At 34.7% G+C, this 18,877-nt stretch overlaps 1 protein-coding gene across 8 annotated transcripts in view; it reads right to left on the bottom strand.

Annotated features, from left to right (window-relative positions):
- MSRB3 (methionine sulfoxide reductase B3) overlaps nt 1–18,877 on the bottom strand; it is a 188,225-nt gene that overhangs the window by 145,647 nt on the left and 23,701 nt on the right. For 3 of the 8 annotated variants that reach the window (NM_001193460.2, XM_024448919.2, XM_024448918.2), the window contains exons 2-3: nt 14,235–14,398; nt 12,606–12,732 (exon numbers count right to left, since the gene is read on the bottom strand). The exons of 1 other annotated variant lie outside the window; for it this stretch is intronic. In NM_001193460.2, coding sequence (NP_001180389.1) covers nt 12,606–12,681 — 76 coding nt within the window. In that variant the 5' untranslated portion in view covers nt 12,682–12,732; nt 14,235–14,398. Of the gene's footprint in view, nt 1–12,605; nt 12,733–14,234; nt 14,399–16,031; nt 16,157–18,877 lie in introns of those variants that run through there. 4 more of the 8 variants (NM_001031679.3, XM_024448921.2, NM_001193461.2 and 1 more) reach the window with 2 other exon arrangements.

The following is an 18,877-nucleotide window of genomic DNA, read 5'->3' as shown; positions in this document are numbered from 1 at the left end:
TGGAGTACTAAATAGATCTAAGTACTTAGATCTACTTTCCTGGAGCTCCCATTCCAGCAGGAGTAAGGGAAGACAGACAAACTACAATGAAAATAAGTAAGTAAATTATATAGTCTCTTAGAAGGTGGTAAGTATTCAGGAAGGAAAAAGGAAAACTGGAGGACTGGGAGTGAAAGGAATAAGGATTATAATCTTAAATAGAGTGGCCAAAGAAGTCTCACTGAGGTGATATTTGAGCAAAGCCCTGAAGGAGGAGAGGAAGGTGTCTGTGCTGATCTCTGAAGGAAGAGCTTTCCGAACACATGGCAGGAATGATCAATGCAAGAGATGAAAACACTAACAAGTTCATATTCCAGTGGCAGAGACAGAGACAGGTAACCTCAGTGAAAGTGCTAAAACCTGAATATGAATAGATAAGCAACAATTTAAATATATAAGACATATGCTTTTAAACCAGGAAATTTACAACTACGTATCTTAATACAGGCATTGTTTAGCATTACCTTTTTTTACTTCCAAGAGAAAGTTTAGTGAATATCCATTTAGCAAAGTGCTACCCTCAAAATAGCTCTCGGAAAGTATTTTTCTGGCTGAACTTTCAACGTATGATCAGAGTGCAGGTTCTGCTAATTTGCTTTGTCCACTTAAAGTCATCCTTTTTAGACTACAGATCATCATTCTCAACTTGGAGTTATATCTGAGAGGATACTCAATGGCTGTTTCTGGTGATGAATTTTGGATGAGCCTAGAGAACAAAAAACCCTTTGGCCAAACAATGCTGTTGCCCTTCTGAAACACTCCAGTAACTCTCCCCTTCAGAGTAATCTTCTGGCCATGGCAGGAAACATCCATAACCAAAGAAAGTATAAAATTAGTACCTGTTCTATTTTTAAAAAACATTCTTAATTTTTACATTTTGTTTCAGTTTTATTTCATCTGTTCTCCAAGCCCTAAACATAACACACACAAAAACAAATCTATGAGTTCTAGGACTCAGAAAAAAGATAATTGTTTCTTCTTAAGGTAAAGATTTGTTCTTTTCTATATGTAAGAAAAATCATATCTTTATATGTCATAATAATAATCACATTTAATGCCTTCTTGCTGTTTTACTTCACATAAGACAATTCCACGAGATCAGTTTCAATTATATTCTATAGATGTATGCACAGAGTTCTAATTAACATCAATGGATATTATAAGCATGCCAAGGCAACATACCATTGTAAACTTCTTGAATTAAACAAGACCATATGTTTTAGTGCTGCATAGTTGAATGATAAAAATGGCCTTCAGTGTGGTTCTCATACTGAAGGTTTGAATAAATACACTCAGAAGACGTTGTCAAGCAAGTTTTCCTTCCAAGGCTACACATCCTGATAAGTTCACCGCTATCAGCACTTTTAGTATTAGTGTATTTACTCTGCAAGGTACTACTTAAATGGGCAAATACAGTATTATGCAATTATTCTCAAACATCTTCATTCATTTCTGCTTTATTTTCCCAAACACATTGTAAATTCTTTGAAGATAAAAACTGTTGAGCCTAATATTAATTTATACTTTCTACAACTATTTATTAAACATCTACAGTGAATCAAGAACTGTGATGAGCACTGGAAAGTTAAAAATAAATAAGGTAGTGTTCCTGCTCTAGGAGAACACATATTTTAGCAGGAAAGATAAGAAAAACAATCTATACAATGTGCAGTCTTACAGTAAAGGTATGTGCAAAGTTTTGTGTAAAGAGAGTTAACAAAAAGGATGTTAACACTTTAAAATTTTTCCCACCTAGATTTAATCATATCTGCTTATAAATGAAATATAGAAAACTCAAATAATACCAACAGCATTCACAGGGTGCCAGAAAAGATCCAAACAGAAAACTACATCTAGACATCCCAATAGATATAGTATGATCAAATGTGCACAAGTCAAGGTGGTCATTACCCTATCCTGATGAAAAGTATGCAGTCTTTCATGTAAGAGTAGCAGCTAATTTAACAAACCAAAAAAGAAACCAGGATAAAATGTAGGTTCAGATTTGAAAAGGGAGAAATTGGGGAACTGAGAAGTAAGGCAGTTTTAAAATTAAGGGGAAAAATGTGCAAACATTTTCTTACTGTAAGTCAAGGGGAGTAAATGTATTTTTCACAGTACTGAAAGGTTATTAACGTCCTTTAAAGTTCTAACCTTAATAGTAAAATCTCATTCATGAAGCTACATTATTTTCTTGTTGGGAAACAATAGAAGTTTAGCACTACATTCATCCTGATGAAACATTCATTAATAATTCACCCGAATGACTGTACGATAGAAGCCACATTTTACTTTTCTATCTTTCATTTGTGTTATAAATTTTTAATTGTTGAATTCATGTGTAGTAGTCATTTTATTAGTATTCTTTAAGCACCATAAAAAAACTAAAGAGTATCTTATCAACTCTTCAAAATTTAATGCAAATACTGAGAGCAACACTTTTTGTGTTAATGTGGACCACAAAGCCTAGAGTTTAGGGAAATATTTTTAAAATGTCTTGATCCAAAGAGCATTTTCTTGCTTGCAAGGCGTATAAATAAGAAGAGAATTTTTAAAGGCACTGCCATCATCAAGTGACAACAGTGGAAGAGAAAGTCACTTTACTTCAATTCTATCTGATTGCATGTGAAACGTCTGACAAACTTGGAGTTCCCTGTTTTTAATTTTTTTTTCCAGTATGGGTCTTCACTAGAACATCATAGCCCATAAAAAAAAATTAAAAACAGACAGGCTCATTTCCATTCTACATTTCACATGCAATCAAAAAGATCTGCAAAAAATAGCTCGCTCTCTCATCCTCCTTCTCCCCTTGGGAGCACCGACTGCTAGGGAGATGAGCGGTAACCACCCACAAAAAGGAAGGAAAGGAGCCCTCTCTTAGATTATCATGCAAATTTTATTTAAATGTAACATTGAGTATACTTCACCAGAAACAAAATAAAATATATATTGTCAAAAACTCAGCTTTGCAAATTTCCAAAATTACATTACCACCCAAATCAAATTTCAAATATAAATTAATTAAGCAAAAGGCATAGAAAACAAGTCTTCAGTTGCCACTCAACAAACAGCTAAATCTGAATCTATATATTCCAGAAAAATCTGAGGAGTTCTGGAGAAAAAAAAAATCCACTTTACTTTTTCACTCAAATTTATCAAGAAAAGCCATGTCTTGCCCTGACACGGGAAGACATTATTCAATGTCTTCTTGAGAGACAGTGCTCACACATATTTTAGTCATCTTTGCATCCTCAGCACCTAGTAATGTGGCTGAGAAAAAGGAAGGACTAAACGGGTATATGTTGTATTTAAATACTTACTCAATTCTCCACTTTAATTATTGCTATTTAAATCTTCTTTCTAAAAGATGTTTTCTAAATAATGATCTTGGCTATGTTTCTTAGAAATTAGTTTAAAAACAGCAACAATAACATTTGCTTAATAAATCAGTGAAATTTTAAACATAAATAATGATAGAGTAAAAACATTAATTCAGTAATTCAGATTGCTACTCTGAATCCTATGTTACCTCTCTAGGGTTTCACATTCAACTCTTTTATTATAACTAATATTTGATTAATTCTCTGGATTTAAGACTATAAGATTACCTGATCCAGCATTCCTCAAAATGCATTCTCTAAAACACTGGCTCTGAAAAAAATGCTAACATGTTATTCCTCTTGCAGAGTGAGAAGGGAAAGGTTCCACTGTCAAATCAGATTAGGCAAATCTAGGTGACATGGGTTTCTTGAAGACCTTCTCAGAGATTTTCTTATGCTGATGTGCACTATTAAATATGTGGTCATTTGATACCCCATTATTTTATGCTCCACTAAAAAGGCGGGGAGAAAGTGGCCAAACTATAATACATTCTTGTCACAATGATTTTTAAGCTGCATCCAGATTACCAAGATGGTAAAATGGTAAAAGCAGTGCATCTTAGAATTTATGCAATAGGGTAGTATGTAGGGTTTCTCAATTTCATGATGAGATCCATTTTACAAGGGAAAGTTAGTAGAATTAGTGTCCCTCAGATTATAATTTGGGAAATGATGAATTTCTAGTCCAAAGCCCTCAAAAGGAAATCAGGGCCCAAAAAAGTTACTACTCATGGTTGCATACCTGGTTAATGACAGCCAGGTTCTCTTGTCTGCAGCCTTCCTCCTTTAGTTTATTTGTCCATTCTGTTTCTCTCTTGAACCCATGCTTGGTTGCACTCTACCATACCTATCTATTGCTAACCCATGTGCCCACAATCCACCCCTACCCCCATCTTCTCATCCTCCACTCCTACCACCTCCCACTAATTACATCTACACATTCCTTCAATATCCTTCAGAAGAACTGTCATTGCTTGAAATCCTATTCCGAGAATCCAGTCTGACATTCTGGGAGGAAAGAAGCACAATGCTTCTCACTTCTTCTACTCCCTGCCTCAATGGTAAAACAAAAGAGAAAGTGTTCATATAGAATCGTCAAACCTTCAAGTATATAACTCCTTTCATCCTATAGATAATAAAATTTGAACCTGAGGTGGCCATCTTTCTCACCAGAATGTAGATCCCTTAAGAGCAGAGATCACATTACTTGTAATGTGACATTATTTTGATATATAAGATGATGTTACTTATTCACAAGCATTCATTCATCCAACAAATATTTATTGAACACCTATTATGTGATAGACACAACTGTAGTTGCTGAATTGTAACAGTGAACTAAACAGACAAAAATTTCTACCTTTCTGGAGCTTGCTTTGCAGGAACCAAGGACTTTCCATAACTGAAACAGATTTTGCCTGATCAAACCCATGACATTTCCCAGACTTTTTGGCGTCCTCCCTTCCACCCCCATCTTTTTTTCCCCAATTTCTTCTCCCTTACAACAAGGCACTTAAATTGCACAGAACAAACTTTTGGAAAATGTCAGCTAATATGTAATATAATATAATATAATACAATAACCCTCACCTGAAGGTCATATCTTTTATAAAAGATTTGACAAGAATGTTACAAAATTCTCAGTTTACAGATGCAGAATAGGAATAAAAGGTACAAAACAAAGATTCCTGGGGCCAGAAAGCAAGTTGGTGGTAGAAACAAACTAGTAAATACAGATCAGTGTCTAATCTCTTTCTTCATCAATACCAATAATATGATGAGAAGCTCTGAAATTTGCTGTGAGATTATCTAAAATTTGCAGAAGGAAGATTAAAACATTAATCAAGTGGAATATAATATAAACAGTTTTATCTTTCTGCGCTAACATGTATTTCTGCAACAAAACAAAATCCTACAAAGCTATAGTTACAGGATTCTGAATTTTCTTTGCTTGCCTCAAATTCAAATACTCTAGTGATAAAAATTAACATTCCATTCCTTCCTTGCAACTATGTGGCTCAATATAATAAATACATCTAGTACTGAAAGAAATGCTTATCATAAAAGTTAATACATAAATTTAAACTCTATAAAAGTATATCTCTTATTAACCATCTAAATAACTGATATCTTTTGTCATTTCATGGGTTTTTTTTTTTTTTTTTTTTGAGATGGAGACAGAGTCTCACCCTGTAGCCCAGGCTGGAGTGCAATCATACGATCCCGGCTCACTGCAACCTCTGCCTCCTGGGCTTAAGCGATTCTCCTGCTTCAGCCTCCTGGGTAGCTGGGATTACAGGCGCACCACCAGGCCCGGCTAATTATTGTATTTTTAGTAGAGACAGGGTTTCACTATGTTGGCCAGGCTGGTCTCAAACTCCTGGCCTCAAGTGATCTGCCCACCTCGGCCTCTCAAAGTGCCTGGATTACAGGTACGACCACCGCGCCAGGCCTCATGGTGTATTTTTTATAACACGCATTTTTAAATTACTAATACAAGCGTAAATATACTAAATGTTTTAAAAAATAAAAATATATAGGAAATTGAAATAAATGAAATAAGGATTTAAAATTTTCAAGTAAATCGTTGATTTCAAATGCAAAGGCACAAAAGGTAATTTCAGATAATTTATCGTTGCATCTTAATACAATCTATTTTAAAGAATGTTAAATTACAGTATACCTAGCAGAAGCAGTTATGAGAAATTCAATCTCTAAATAAAATGTTTAGGATGAAATTGTAAACTAGGAAAGGATGATAGTAAAAATTCATCAAATATCTACCCACAATATTACTGAATCTGTGAGCTGTCATTCATGGCTCATTCCTTCATTAAACTTGTGTTTGTTGAGAGCAAGAGTTAGCTCATTTTAATAAATCCTTCTACAATCTGTCACATAACATTATTGTGAATATGTTTAGATAAATAAGCATCTAATTGCCTATATGATTCCTCCAAAGTGCATATTGTCTAGATATTCTAACCCTGTAGAATTATCATTTGTTTTCAGAATTTATGTTTTACACACTGTACAGTCATTGTTAACTAATGAATTTCTCAAACAAAACTAAGATTTAATTGTTTTTTTCATGCCTATTTAAACTCTCTTGTTACTAGGTGTTATGTATTTTATAATTCTTAAGGTATATAAAGAATTTATTCCATATTTACCAGAAAATCAAGAGAATCCACACTTAACAAACCATATGCCCAACATCTTATTCATACAGTCTTATTGTTGTATAACAATTTAGCCTTAACTAATATCCATTGTCACAGATAATTAAAAGTTCATCTGGTAATTAGATGCTGCACAGCAACTTTTCAACATTAACTAAAACTTTATTATATTATAGGGCTACTAAAACAGTTTGTTTTAGAAAAATATAGCTGCATCAGAGTACTCATTTAATCAACATTTTAAATATAATTTTTCTTAGTTTTCTAAAATATTTTCATTCATGCAAAAATCGATTCATGCTTAACAGTCAACATGCTAAACTAATAACATTTTCAAGATTCTATAAAAATTCAAAACACAGCAAAACAAAATGTGAAATTTTCTTTAATTCTTGGGTGGTCTGCTGAAGAAAATTTAGCTGCATATAAAACTATAAATGACTGTTAAATCAGCTATTTGGATACAAGATAATTTATGAAAACTTGTTTCAGTTTATAGAAAGTCTACACATGAAAGACAATTTCAATGAGATGGCCAAGCATAAGGGAGTCAGAATCTTATTGAAAATGGAAAAAGGTTTTGTGCTCTACAAATATTGTTTGAACATAATATAAGCAGAAAAATTTGTGGATTATAAATCCATATGTTCTTAACTGGCTATTCCTTATATACTTTTGTTTAAGTTTTCACAATGCACCTATGTGCTAATATCAATAATCATTCATGCTATGAAAGAATGTAAACCTAGTGCCATCTACTGGAAAAAGTGGATACCATTTAATCAACTAATTGCAAATTATTTTGTGAATTACGGGTTGAAATTTGTATGTCCTTTTTTCTATTTCTTTAAAAAAAATCCTCTCCTCGGCATTTTAATATAATCAAAGAAATTAGGTAAGATAAAGTTAGGTCAGATGTTGGGTAAGAATGGTGAAACTGGAGAACTGAGGGCATTAATCTGAACACAAGGGAGAGAATTCCTTTAGGGACACCAATACAGAAATCAGAAACACGGTGTTCTGATCCGAGTTTTAGATTGGGTTCATGTGCATCTTTTAGAACAGAGGTCCTGAATATGTGGTCAAAGAACCCCCTTTGAAGAGTTTCAGAAGACTTAACAAAAAATTTCTTGAAATTATATGAAAACATGTGTAGATGCATATATGTCTTTTCTGGAAAAGAAGGTCATAACTTTTATCAAAGCACTATGTAGGTTGTCCATATTTTTCATGACCCAAAAAAGATTCTGAAGAACTAATATAGAAAGTCAATGCATTCAGTAAGTGAACAGCACACTGACGATTCTGATTATCTTTTAAGTACATCAGTTCTATTAATGAACTATTGCCAGCTCAAATTGAATAAGTACTTGTTACTGATGGATGTGGCTTTAATGTGTATCTGTAGTATTTCCTCTTTACAAATGGAGACTTTAAAGCACAACAAACAATAATTTGCTGCAAAGAAGTGATCAAAAGGGCCAGAGTTCTTAAGTCTTATGCTAAGTATACTACGTACTTATTCACCGCCTCAAACAGTTTACTACCAAAACTCAAAACTGTTTGCAAGAAAAGGTAAAAGCAATTCTGGATAACATGCATTGAATCTGTTGCCACTTTTGTTTTTTGTTTAGCTACAATGTGATTTATACCTATGACATCCCCTGTATTGTATTAATGCAATAAAGTGAGAAAAAATTGTCAGACAATAAATTCAAAAGTAAACCAAACTATGAACTTCACTTTTAATCTTCCCATATAAAGGAGTTTCAAATAAATTTGTACTCTCTTACAGCTATGACTTCACCTACACATAAACATTCCAAATGTTTACTGATTCATTTAACATATATTTATTAAGTGCCAGGCACTGTGTTAAGCTCTGGAGCCATAAGCCGCTGATTCATGGAGTTCTAGTTATACAGATGATAATCAATGACTTTCTAACACCATTTGCAAAATATCTCTAAGACTTCTAATTGCTACATTAGAAAACTATGATATATTTATAAGCTACAGCCATGTGACTCTTCAATTCATGGAAACTATTAAATATGCCAATAATGTCAAATAAGAATCACAACCACAAATTATATGTATGAGGGTAGAAAAAAAGTATAATTTATCACTCTAATTAGTACTATTTAGACAAATTTTATTTATTTCACCCTCACTTGGCTGAAAGCTATCATGATATCTAGTCTAAGCTACAATTACACTTAATTTTTATCTAGCATTAAAACTATGTATAAAATTGGGCTTCCTGATTCCTCCTCAGATAATGCTTCAGTCTTGATTAAGAGGCAAGGAATTCTAATGTTCAAACATGGAAACTGTGTCCTCCCACCACAACTCAGCAGACTTCTCTGTATAAGTTCCCAGCATTAGTTAGTACTGAGTTTTAAGATCTGATTAACCTAAAGTCAAAAGTAAAAACAAGTGACAGTTAATAAAATCACAGAATTTAAGAACTAAATATACTATCTAATTTTAATTCCTCATAAAGATGAAGAGACTGTGATCAGGAGAAGTTTATTGATTTGTTCAAGGTCACGCAAGTTAAGGACAGAGCTTTGGTTAGAGTTTTCTAACTCCTAATCCAGTGTTCTTTTAATACATTAAGGAAACTGTTGTAAGAAATTAAGAAGAAATTCTGCGAGAGAAAAATTACCTTTAATTGCAAACATGAGTGAACCATAACTCAGATGCACTTAAAAAGCTCCAAATTAAAATTATACTTTATTAAAAAAATAAGACGTAAAAAAAGTCAAAGCTGAAAAATAATAGATCACTCTTCTGGGATATAGCCTTCATGCAGGTCAATCCAGTTATAATCAACTTTAAGAGCTTGCTCCAATTATATTTTAGTTCTGGAATTATTTCATATTGAATAATACTCAAAATTAGTAGGGTACTGGTTAGGGAACAGACATCTTTTTGATTTACAGAGATTTCTGTTGTAATGGGTTTTGACCAGCAACATTATATTAAAGCAAGACTTCAAACTTTCACCTTCACTTCCTGTATTTCCAATTTTGGCCTCTTCTCTTCCCTACCTGTACAAACTAATAGGGACTAGAATTCCCATTTCAATTTCATCTTTATTTTTCAAAATTTAAGCAGTCTGTTTCATTACTGTTGAAGTTAATTTCTTCAACATTTCTATATATCTAAGAGCAAAATCCTGTTAGAGAAATTGATGATGATACAGATTTTGCTAAATCCAAGTTATAAAATATGTAGACACCCAAAGACTGACTTTCATAACACTTTAAAAACTAGTGGTGCTTGAATGGTCGAGAAATTATGGAATACTATTCTAGTCAACTCATTTTTCAAATTAAAATGGGTTTACAAGCCCTAGATAAGAAAGATGAGAGTTTCTTTGGGCTTTTACCAGTACTGGGTAGTAAGAATAAAAGAAATCTCTTGTATATTTATAGGACTTGAATTCTGGTTCAGCAGGGTGCATAAGTAAAATAAAGAGATCAGAACAACAGGTCAAGATGGTTATTCCTCAAACATAAAGTGTATTTGTGAGTCCCATGAAAGTAAAAAATAGTTAAATGAAACATAGGACATGTTTAAAAGTTTGAAAAGTCTGTTGTATTGGAAAAACATAAATCTATATTAATACAGATACATGAATTTCCATATTGAACATAGTGAAGACATATATGGTGTTTACTAAATGCCAGCCACAGGTTTAAGCACTTTTCACATCCCAATCTATTTAATTCTCACAGCAACCCTTTCAGGTTGGTACTATTATTATCTCCATGTTACAAACAAGGAAGCTAAGGCACACAGCTAGTCAGTGGCAAAGTCAGATTTTAAACTCAGTCTGACCTCATACAGAATTTGTGTGCTTAAGCACTGTACCATAATGGTTAATTTTTTAAAAACTATCAGCTTTGCTGAATTTATCTTTGAATCATTTTATCAAAATTTAAAGATATTTATATTTCAGTTAAACAATCTCATTATGAAACCCTTTAATCCATGACTGTCATATCTTGAAGAATACACTGTTAATTAATGTGGTTTCTATAAACATTTAGCCTCCCCTGTATTTGGCAAACCAATGTTACAAGAACTATGCTGGGTACTTTTACACATTGGAGCTTTTTCCAGAGGAAAACATCATTATGTATAATCTAAATAACCTCCATAGTCCACCTGTGATATGTACGGTATAGCATTGAAAAGGTTCTGCAAAGCACAAGAACTAGTGGTTGAGGTTCTCCCTCAAGGTCGTATACAATTCAACAGACAAACCTTGTCAGTTCTACAGTCTGAATCTCTCCCAATTACAATCTTTCTTTTCAACTCCACTGTAATGGCCACAGTCAAGTCTTCAGCACTTCACATGTCATTCCAGCCTCACACTCCTCCAGTACTCTTTATGGTGGCAGTGCAGGGGGATGTGGGGCTAGGGGGCATACTGAGAAGAGTGGTTGGGGCCTCTATACATTAAGCTTCATTAGCCCCTCATGTCACCATAAACAGACATAAGATCTACTTTTAAAAAAAGTGTATTTGCTATTTAAATATAGCTTCAAGACAAATACCTTACTCCTTCTAATCAGGTTGCCATCCCAGCCTCTCTCACAGAAACATCTGAAAAACCAGCACTGACCTCCTACCATACTAAATCAATAATCTTTGTAAAATGCAAATGAAGTCATGTGATTCCTGTTCATCTCCCCAAGACTTAAATTCCTTAAAACATCATATAAAGTGCTTCATGATTTGGCTACCTTTCCTTCCTTACCTCTTCTATTTGCCCTTGCACATCCAAACCAGCCATATGAATAACTGTATTTCTCTGAACATGCCTTGCTCTTTCAGGCCTTCATGTTTTCCCATGCTACTCCTTTTGTTAAAAACGGCCTCCCCACCACCCTGCTTAGAAACCAGGCTAACTGTGCTACCAGTCTGAGATTCAGCTCAAGCACCATATCCTCCATAATGCCCTCCTTAAACTTCAGAGATCTTCCCTTCCTTCCAACATTTCTTCTCCTAAAGAAAAGATCTAGGAACAACCTCCTCTGAATTACCATAACACACCAAGTATAAATACCTCTAGTCTAGTCAGGTCAACATATGATTTAATGGTCCTCACACAGTTCCATTTCCACCTTGTACTTGTTGAAAAAAATCAGCTTTACCTTATTTATCACTGTATCCTCACTGCTTAACACAATGCCTGGCATGCATAGTTAACATCTAATGAGTTGGAATTAAATTCCTTACACAATGTAGTGATAGATATGTACACTAATGGAAAAATGTAAATAATATTGATAATCACGCTCACAGAAGTAAAATATTTAGCCATTGTGGTTTTCATAATAAAATTAAAATATTAAGCTTATGATACAGGCGCATATAAAATTTTGGACTTTCATGCCTCACTTATTTAAATTCTTAAAATCACATTTTTAAAAAGTACAGTGGTTCTAATTTAAGAACCCACTGATGCATGCTATATTAGTTCTGTTTATTTGGCCATTGTTAAGTAGAACTTTCTTTCTTTTTAACTACAATAAATTGGTAACTTAATCATGCTAACATTGTTCATTTTCATTTTTTCCTAAAGGAATGACCACATGTGGAATGAAAAGCATTTTCATTATCCTTTAACAAGATGAATGTCCTATTTTGTGTGATTTGGGGCAGTTTCTTACTCAGACTGCCAGCCTCTTATGAACGTTATGATTTGCAGATGTGTAGTGTGCATTAAAGAACAAGAAGATATGAAATATTAGTGACAATTATACACTGGGCAAGGAAACTGGACAATGTTCCAAGGGTTGTAAGGATTGTGGAAATGAATGTTACTCAAAGTAGAGTGGTGATTTATAACCAATTTCCGTCTTCAAATTAGGGCCCAAGTAAAAGAAAATGAAATTTAGCAAAGCATGATGGTGTATCATTTCCTGCAGCAGAAACACCCAGTTGGCCCTGTGCCTTCACTATGTACAGTACAACAAGCAGCAACCTGAGGGAAGCCCACAGGCTCGAAGGGCTACTGGCTGGCTCTTTGTCACCAAATGCAGCAGGTTGAATGCAGACATCACTGTGATATCTTCACCAACAAAACGAGAAGCAAAGAACAGGGGCAAGAGCTGAGTAGGAGAAAAAACAAAAACAAAAATCAAATTAAAACATCACAAATATTAAACACATTCATTGCACAACTGATGGTTACAGTTTTATCTGGAACTGAACACATGCACATACTGCTAATAAATTTCAAACGCCTATTTTTCAGCCCGTGAGCTTACTTTCAATCTAGCTTTATTTGTACCTTAGAGGTAAAATACACACTACATGATAGCAGTGCAATCTGTGAACACAGTTTACAAGAGGTTGAGAAAAGAGAGGAAGTTTAAAAACAGTTGAAAGGAATTCACATTTACTGAGTTCATACCATGTGACAGGAACTGTCTGGAGCCTAATATACACGTTGTATCATTTAATTCTTACAATAAACCAAGGAGGTAGGTTTTATGCCCCAATACGTATGTGAAGAAACTGTGACTCAAAAGTCCAAGGGCACAAAGCAAATAACCAGTGGAAAAAGGACTAAAAAACCCTGCTATACTGACTGCAAAGCCATGTTCTTTCCTTACACCATGCTGCCTTCTTCCAGCAATTATTGGCAAATCTCCCTCCCTGGAGAAGACTATAAAATAATAAGATTAAGAGACACATTTTGTTAGAATTTCATTTTATAAAATAGAGACCCAGAAAACCTAAGGACAATTAAGGGACTTCACTTTCAAAACAGCGTTAAGTTCGAATAAAGCATGGCAAATATGAATTTTCATTTAATTATATGATTTATAATTTCTAGGTCAATCCTGTGAATAATATTCATGATTTAGTAATTCAAAAAGTGTAAAAATGTTTTTTAATGTCTTTGGAAATGAATTATGTGGAAGAATCTAAAAATTGTGTAGATATTAAACTTTAGAGAAAAGTTCAATTCTTAGGATTTTCTTAAAAGTTTTTTACAATATTTCAATTGGTAAAGATTAACTTTAAATGCAAATGGAAAATACTAGATTAATAAACTTCATATATGTTGTTTCAAATTAGCATTTTAAGTGACTTTAACCATTAAATGTCCAAAAATTAATATAAAATTAATGTCTTGTTCATTTCCTGACCACTTCCCCTGCTTCCCGCCCCAAAAAAAGTCTGTTCCGGACTCTTCTGACCTCCTTGAAGAACAAACATATAATAAACAGTAATATATTTTACTAAATCACTCTGGAGTATATCTGACAGAAATCTGCTTGTATTAACATGCCTGAACTCTGACTTCCCCAAACTAAACTCACTACAAGACTAAAACATTTTTGTGTTACTAACTGCAGACAAAGAGGAGGGAAAAGGAAGGTAAGTATCACAATGCACAGCCTGAAAGAACCATTAAACATAAATAAACATGTCATTTTCACGAGTGACTGCAGAGCAGGGAAAAGAGAGCATTCCTTTGGAGCAGACTACTGACTAATAAAAGATCAAAGGTCTATACCTCACAACACTATAAATAAAAATGTATTTTTTCCCTGTGACCCTTCTCTGTGAGGAATAAAGCACACACAGTAAATGTAATTACTTAGCAAAGCTGCAGTCTCACTGTGCTTCCACAGCTGACCATAAAACGTCTTCCTATTCTGTTTCATCAACTCCTGTACCAGGCAGCCTGGGCGCCTACCAACCACGGTGGCCATCTGGCTTATGTCAAAGCCAGCGCACAGGAAGAGAGGCAGTGATGTCACTCTGCAGGTCAGGGAAAGAACAAAGATGCATTCTACAATTAAAACCTGAGGGCCACAAATACCGGGAGCCCTCCAGCATGATATGACTGTGTGATTTAATATTCTGTTGCCTGTATTTCTACCCAAATAGCCAGGGCTCCATCTAGTGGCAAATTAGTTTTGCCCAGCTTTTTGAAAATAGACCCAGAAAGTACATACATTAGCACCAACAAAGTGGGGCAACTAAAATGACTACTTTTAGAGCAGTCTAGTCTTTCTATACTGAAGAATGCAAAAAGCACAATTTGTCACACTGTTCTCCATTTTCTAATCCTAAAAGAATGTGTTTCATAGGTTAGGATTTGATATTATCCGAATTATTTTAATGCCTGCATGGATAGTAGAAAAGGATTGAAGTTTGCAAAATGCATGCAAAGTAGCATTACTCATAAACCACTCTGAAAATATGTAGCTGAGACATAAAGTGAAAACCAGTTCTAAAGAATGGATGTATGCATCTGGATGCCTTGGTTACATCAAACTAATACTCATACTTCCACAGAACAAAAGAATCATAGTTAATATGGCTCTAACATGTATTTTTATACTGAAATGATTTAACAAAATTATTTTAGCTCATGTTTTCCACCTAATTAATGTTTGCGGTAAATAAAATAAAACACTTTAACAAACAGATCTAAAATACATATATTTGCATGAAAGATGGGATATCACAATGGATGTGTGTGATCCGTGAACACAGACCATCTGGGTTTGAATGCTGGTCATGCCCATAGCCAATTCTGTGACCTTGGACAACTTGCTTACCCTCTCGGGGCCTCAGTTTCCTCACTTATAAGATAATGATTAAATAAGTTAATTGGTTAAAAGTGCTTGGTACAACTCCTGGGACATAGTATATGCTCAGGAAATGTTAGCTATTATTATTTAAATATGCCAAATATTTGCTAGTTTTAAATGCATGAATTAGAAAATTGTAACAGTACATTTATATCCACTCCTTCTTAGAGTTAACAAGCTATTCTCCAAAGAATCCTATTTAGGCCAGAAAACCACTACTTGATAGGTTTCCACAGTAAATTATTCTAATGAAAACAAACAACAGAGAAATCCTAAAGATAACAGTTGACTGTGCACACAGCATGTGCCATGCACTGCTCTAAGCATTTCACATTTATTAGCCCTTTTAATCCCCACAACCTCATGAGGTATATACTATCATTTTCCCCTTTTTAGACACAGAGACTGAGGCATAGGGAGGTTAAGTAAATGGCCTAAGGTCTTACACTTAGTAAGGGGCAGGGACCTTAAGTAATTGGGTAATCTGATTGATACATGTGAACTCAGGACATTCACCTCCAAAGCCAGTGCTCTTGACCACTACACAACTGGCAATGAAAAGCCTTATGATGCACCAACCAACTCTAAATACTCTGATTCCATGTTTCCCCACTAGGTAGTATGACGAACATGTAATAAGGAAACTTAATTCAAGAAGATTACTTGATGGCCAGACGAGGTGGCTCACACTGTAATCCCAGCATTCTGGGAGGCTGAGGTGGGCAGATTACTTGAGGTCAGGAGTTCCAGACCAACCTGACCAACACGGCGAAACTAAAAGTACAAAAACTAACCAGGCATGGTGGTGGGCGCCTGCAATCCCAGCTACTCAGGAGGCTGAGGCAGGAGAATCGCTTGAACCTGGGAGGCAGAGATTACAGTGACCTGAGATTGCGTACTGCACTCCAGCCTGGGCAACAGAGAAAGACCCTGTCTCAAAAAAAAAAAAAAGAAAAATAACAAAAAAGAAGAAGATTACTTGAAGATTCTCTCCCTTGACATTCTCAGATTTCTAGACTTGATATTTCTAGTTCCACCACATGCAACTTCAACTGCTTTCAACTTCAACTTTTTCTTTAAATTCTTTGGAAATACCTTCACAATCTGTAAAGCTAACTCTATGTTAATCTACCAAAACTTCAAAATGTTGACAATGTACTTTTGAGGACCAAACAAACTAACAGCTACTTCCACTCTCAGATCACCTAAATTGAAGTTTCAATTCGGCAGCTTTCACCCGTTTGTATTCCCTGAACTGTCTGAGTGAAGGCCATTGCCAGAAACAATCCTAGTCCTGAAAGCAAAAGCTTAGCATTAAACACCCTGTAGAAATCAGCATTGAGCAAGGATCACCAGAAAATCCATAATTCTCCAAGTTTATTCTCAACTTCCTCACTTTCGCATTGCCTTTTATTCAATTAACTACATGGATGAATGACATTTACAGATAATCCATCCACCTCGGCCTCCCAAAGTGCTGGGATTACAGGCGTGAGCCACCATACCCAACCTAATCAACATGTTATTTTTTTAAAAGCCAGACAAGATGTCTCATGAATCTTCCTAATCTCCCAAAATATCTGGTAGATAATTTTGAAAATAGTGGGCATTTAAAAATACTGACTGCACAATACCTAATGAGCAGTATCACATTATGTGTTAAGAACAGAATTAGATTCCATAATTGTCTATAATTTCCTGCTTAAAACATTTTGATGATTCCCCCTTGTATATCACAGGGTTCTCCAAACCATGTTCTGAGAAACATAATATAGCCGCTCCTTCCACAAGTTTAGCAGTCAAATAGTCATGGAAATGCTAACCAATATAAAGGGTCTGAGAAGTCTTCAATAGATATGGCTGCTTAACTTCGTCTCAATTGGTGCCTCTGAAATGTTTCTCATCATACAAAACCCCTTTCTGTCCTATCACCCAGCCCCCAGAACACATTCTGATAAATCCTTCTGATAAAGCCCAAATTCCTAAACAAAGCATCTAAAGTATCTAAAGTTCTACACTCAGCTGCTGCTGAACTCTTCAGCCTTTTCCCTTGCCATACCTCTACAACCCACCGCACCCCACACTCCTGCCATACTAACATGGTGGTAATTTTTGTAATAGGTCAGCTGTTTCCTATTTTCACCTCCATGTCTTCGTTCCAGATCCTTACTATCTTTGCCACCACTTCCAACCTCCACCATTCCTAACGCCTCCAATTCTAGTCCCCAGTATAGCACCAAATACGCTATCACATCCCCTATAACAACTTTCAGGGCACTGATTTGCTTAGATCTCTCCCTCTTCTAGATTATAAACCCCTTAACGACAGTGACAGTGTCTTTTATCCCTGCATCCCAGTACCCGGCATTTATTTATTGAGTCATTCATTTATTGAGTGAAAGACTATGAAAATGACCGATTATATGTTCAGGATATGACTATATTGTTCAGGATCATCATTTCCAATGCTTCTATCTCTGCCATCTCAACTGCTAATAATGCTTAAAGGTAATAATTTGAATTAAAATATATTATAAAATTATTAGTTCCTATGAAGAGGTGGGAAGTTGCAAATGTAACCAGACTTGAAATCCAAAAATAATTCAAATGCCCTATTTTGGTCAAAAATCTCTACTTCTTCATCTCCCCCGTGAATTCTAACATCCAAAAATTTGATTAAAGTTAATCTGCTAGGGTTTTGTTTTATCTTTTTTCCCTTTTACTTTTTTCCCCGTAGTTGAACACTAATCTTCCAAAAAGAGATGGTATAAAAAGGAATCTAGAGAACTCACAAAGCTGATAATTAGCTCCAGAATAAATGAGCTGATTGTACTAGTAGTTTTAAAGTGTCAAACCTAAAGGTCGAATCCCTTCCCAATAAATGCCAAAGGAATGTCTACATCAGTGGTTTTTCACAAGCTAGTAAAATGCTCCCCTCCACCACACCCAGAACTGTAGGAGCCAACAGTTTTGAGTTTTGTCAAATAATGACCAAAAAAAAAGGCTCAAAGCCCTAATCTCACCATAATATCCGAAAAGAAAGATTATGTTGACACCAACAACTAAGAAAGCGATCTCAAGATAAAAAACATTCTTTTAAGTAGAATATATGTAGTTTTGTGGGGGAGAAGTTTCATTGTCGCTATTTTTTCATCTTATTATAAACAGAAGAAACTTCATCATGAGAACCACTAATCTAAGTGTCTACTATAAAGTTCTATAAAAAAATCTTTGTTCTTATCAACCCAGTGCCTAGCAGTTTATGCTCAACTGGCGTTTGTTGAGTGAATTGATCAACCATTTAGCTACTGCTTGAAATCCATAGCTCATTGGCTGGAATTTGGCATTCCTTTTGTTAAACAGAGATCCTTTTGTGATTGTATTTGTTTTAAGAAACAGAATCCTGGCTATTCAGAATGCTTACTCGATCTTTCAAGTGATTTTAAGAGGTAATTTTTTTTAACTTACTCAATTCATCTATATAAATTCCTACTACATGGAAAACAATGTATCAGGTGCTGATGAACATGAAAAGATGTAAGACATAGTCTGTGCTGTTAAAAAACATTAGCTTAAGTGGGAACATTAAGTGGGACATAAGCTAAATGAGTTAACAGGGGTAGAAATTAAGAATTACAGA

This window comes from Homo sapiens, chromosome 12 (genome assembly GCF_000001405.40).
Source record: "Homo sapiens chromosome 12, GRCh38.p14 Primary Assembly".
NCBI classification, from domain to species: domain Eukaryota; kingdom Metazoa; phylum Chordata; class Mammalia; order Primates; family Hominidae; genus Homo; species Homo sapiens.
Note: the sequence above shows the minus strand (reverse complement) of the source record. Positions and strands in the feature narration are given on the sequence as shown.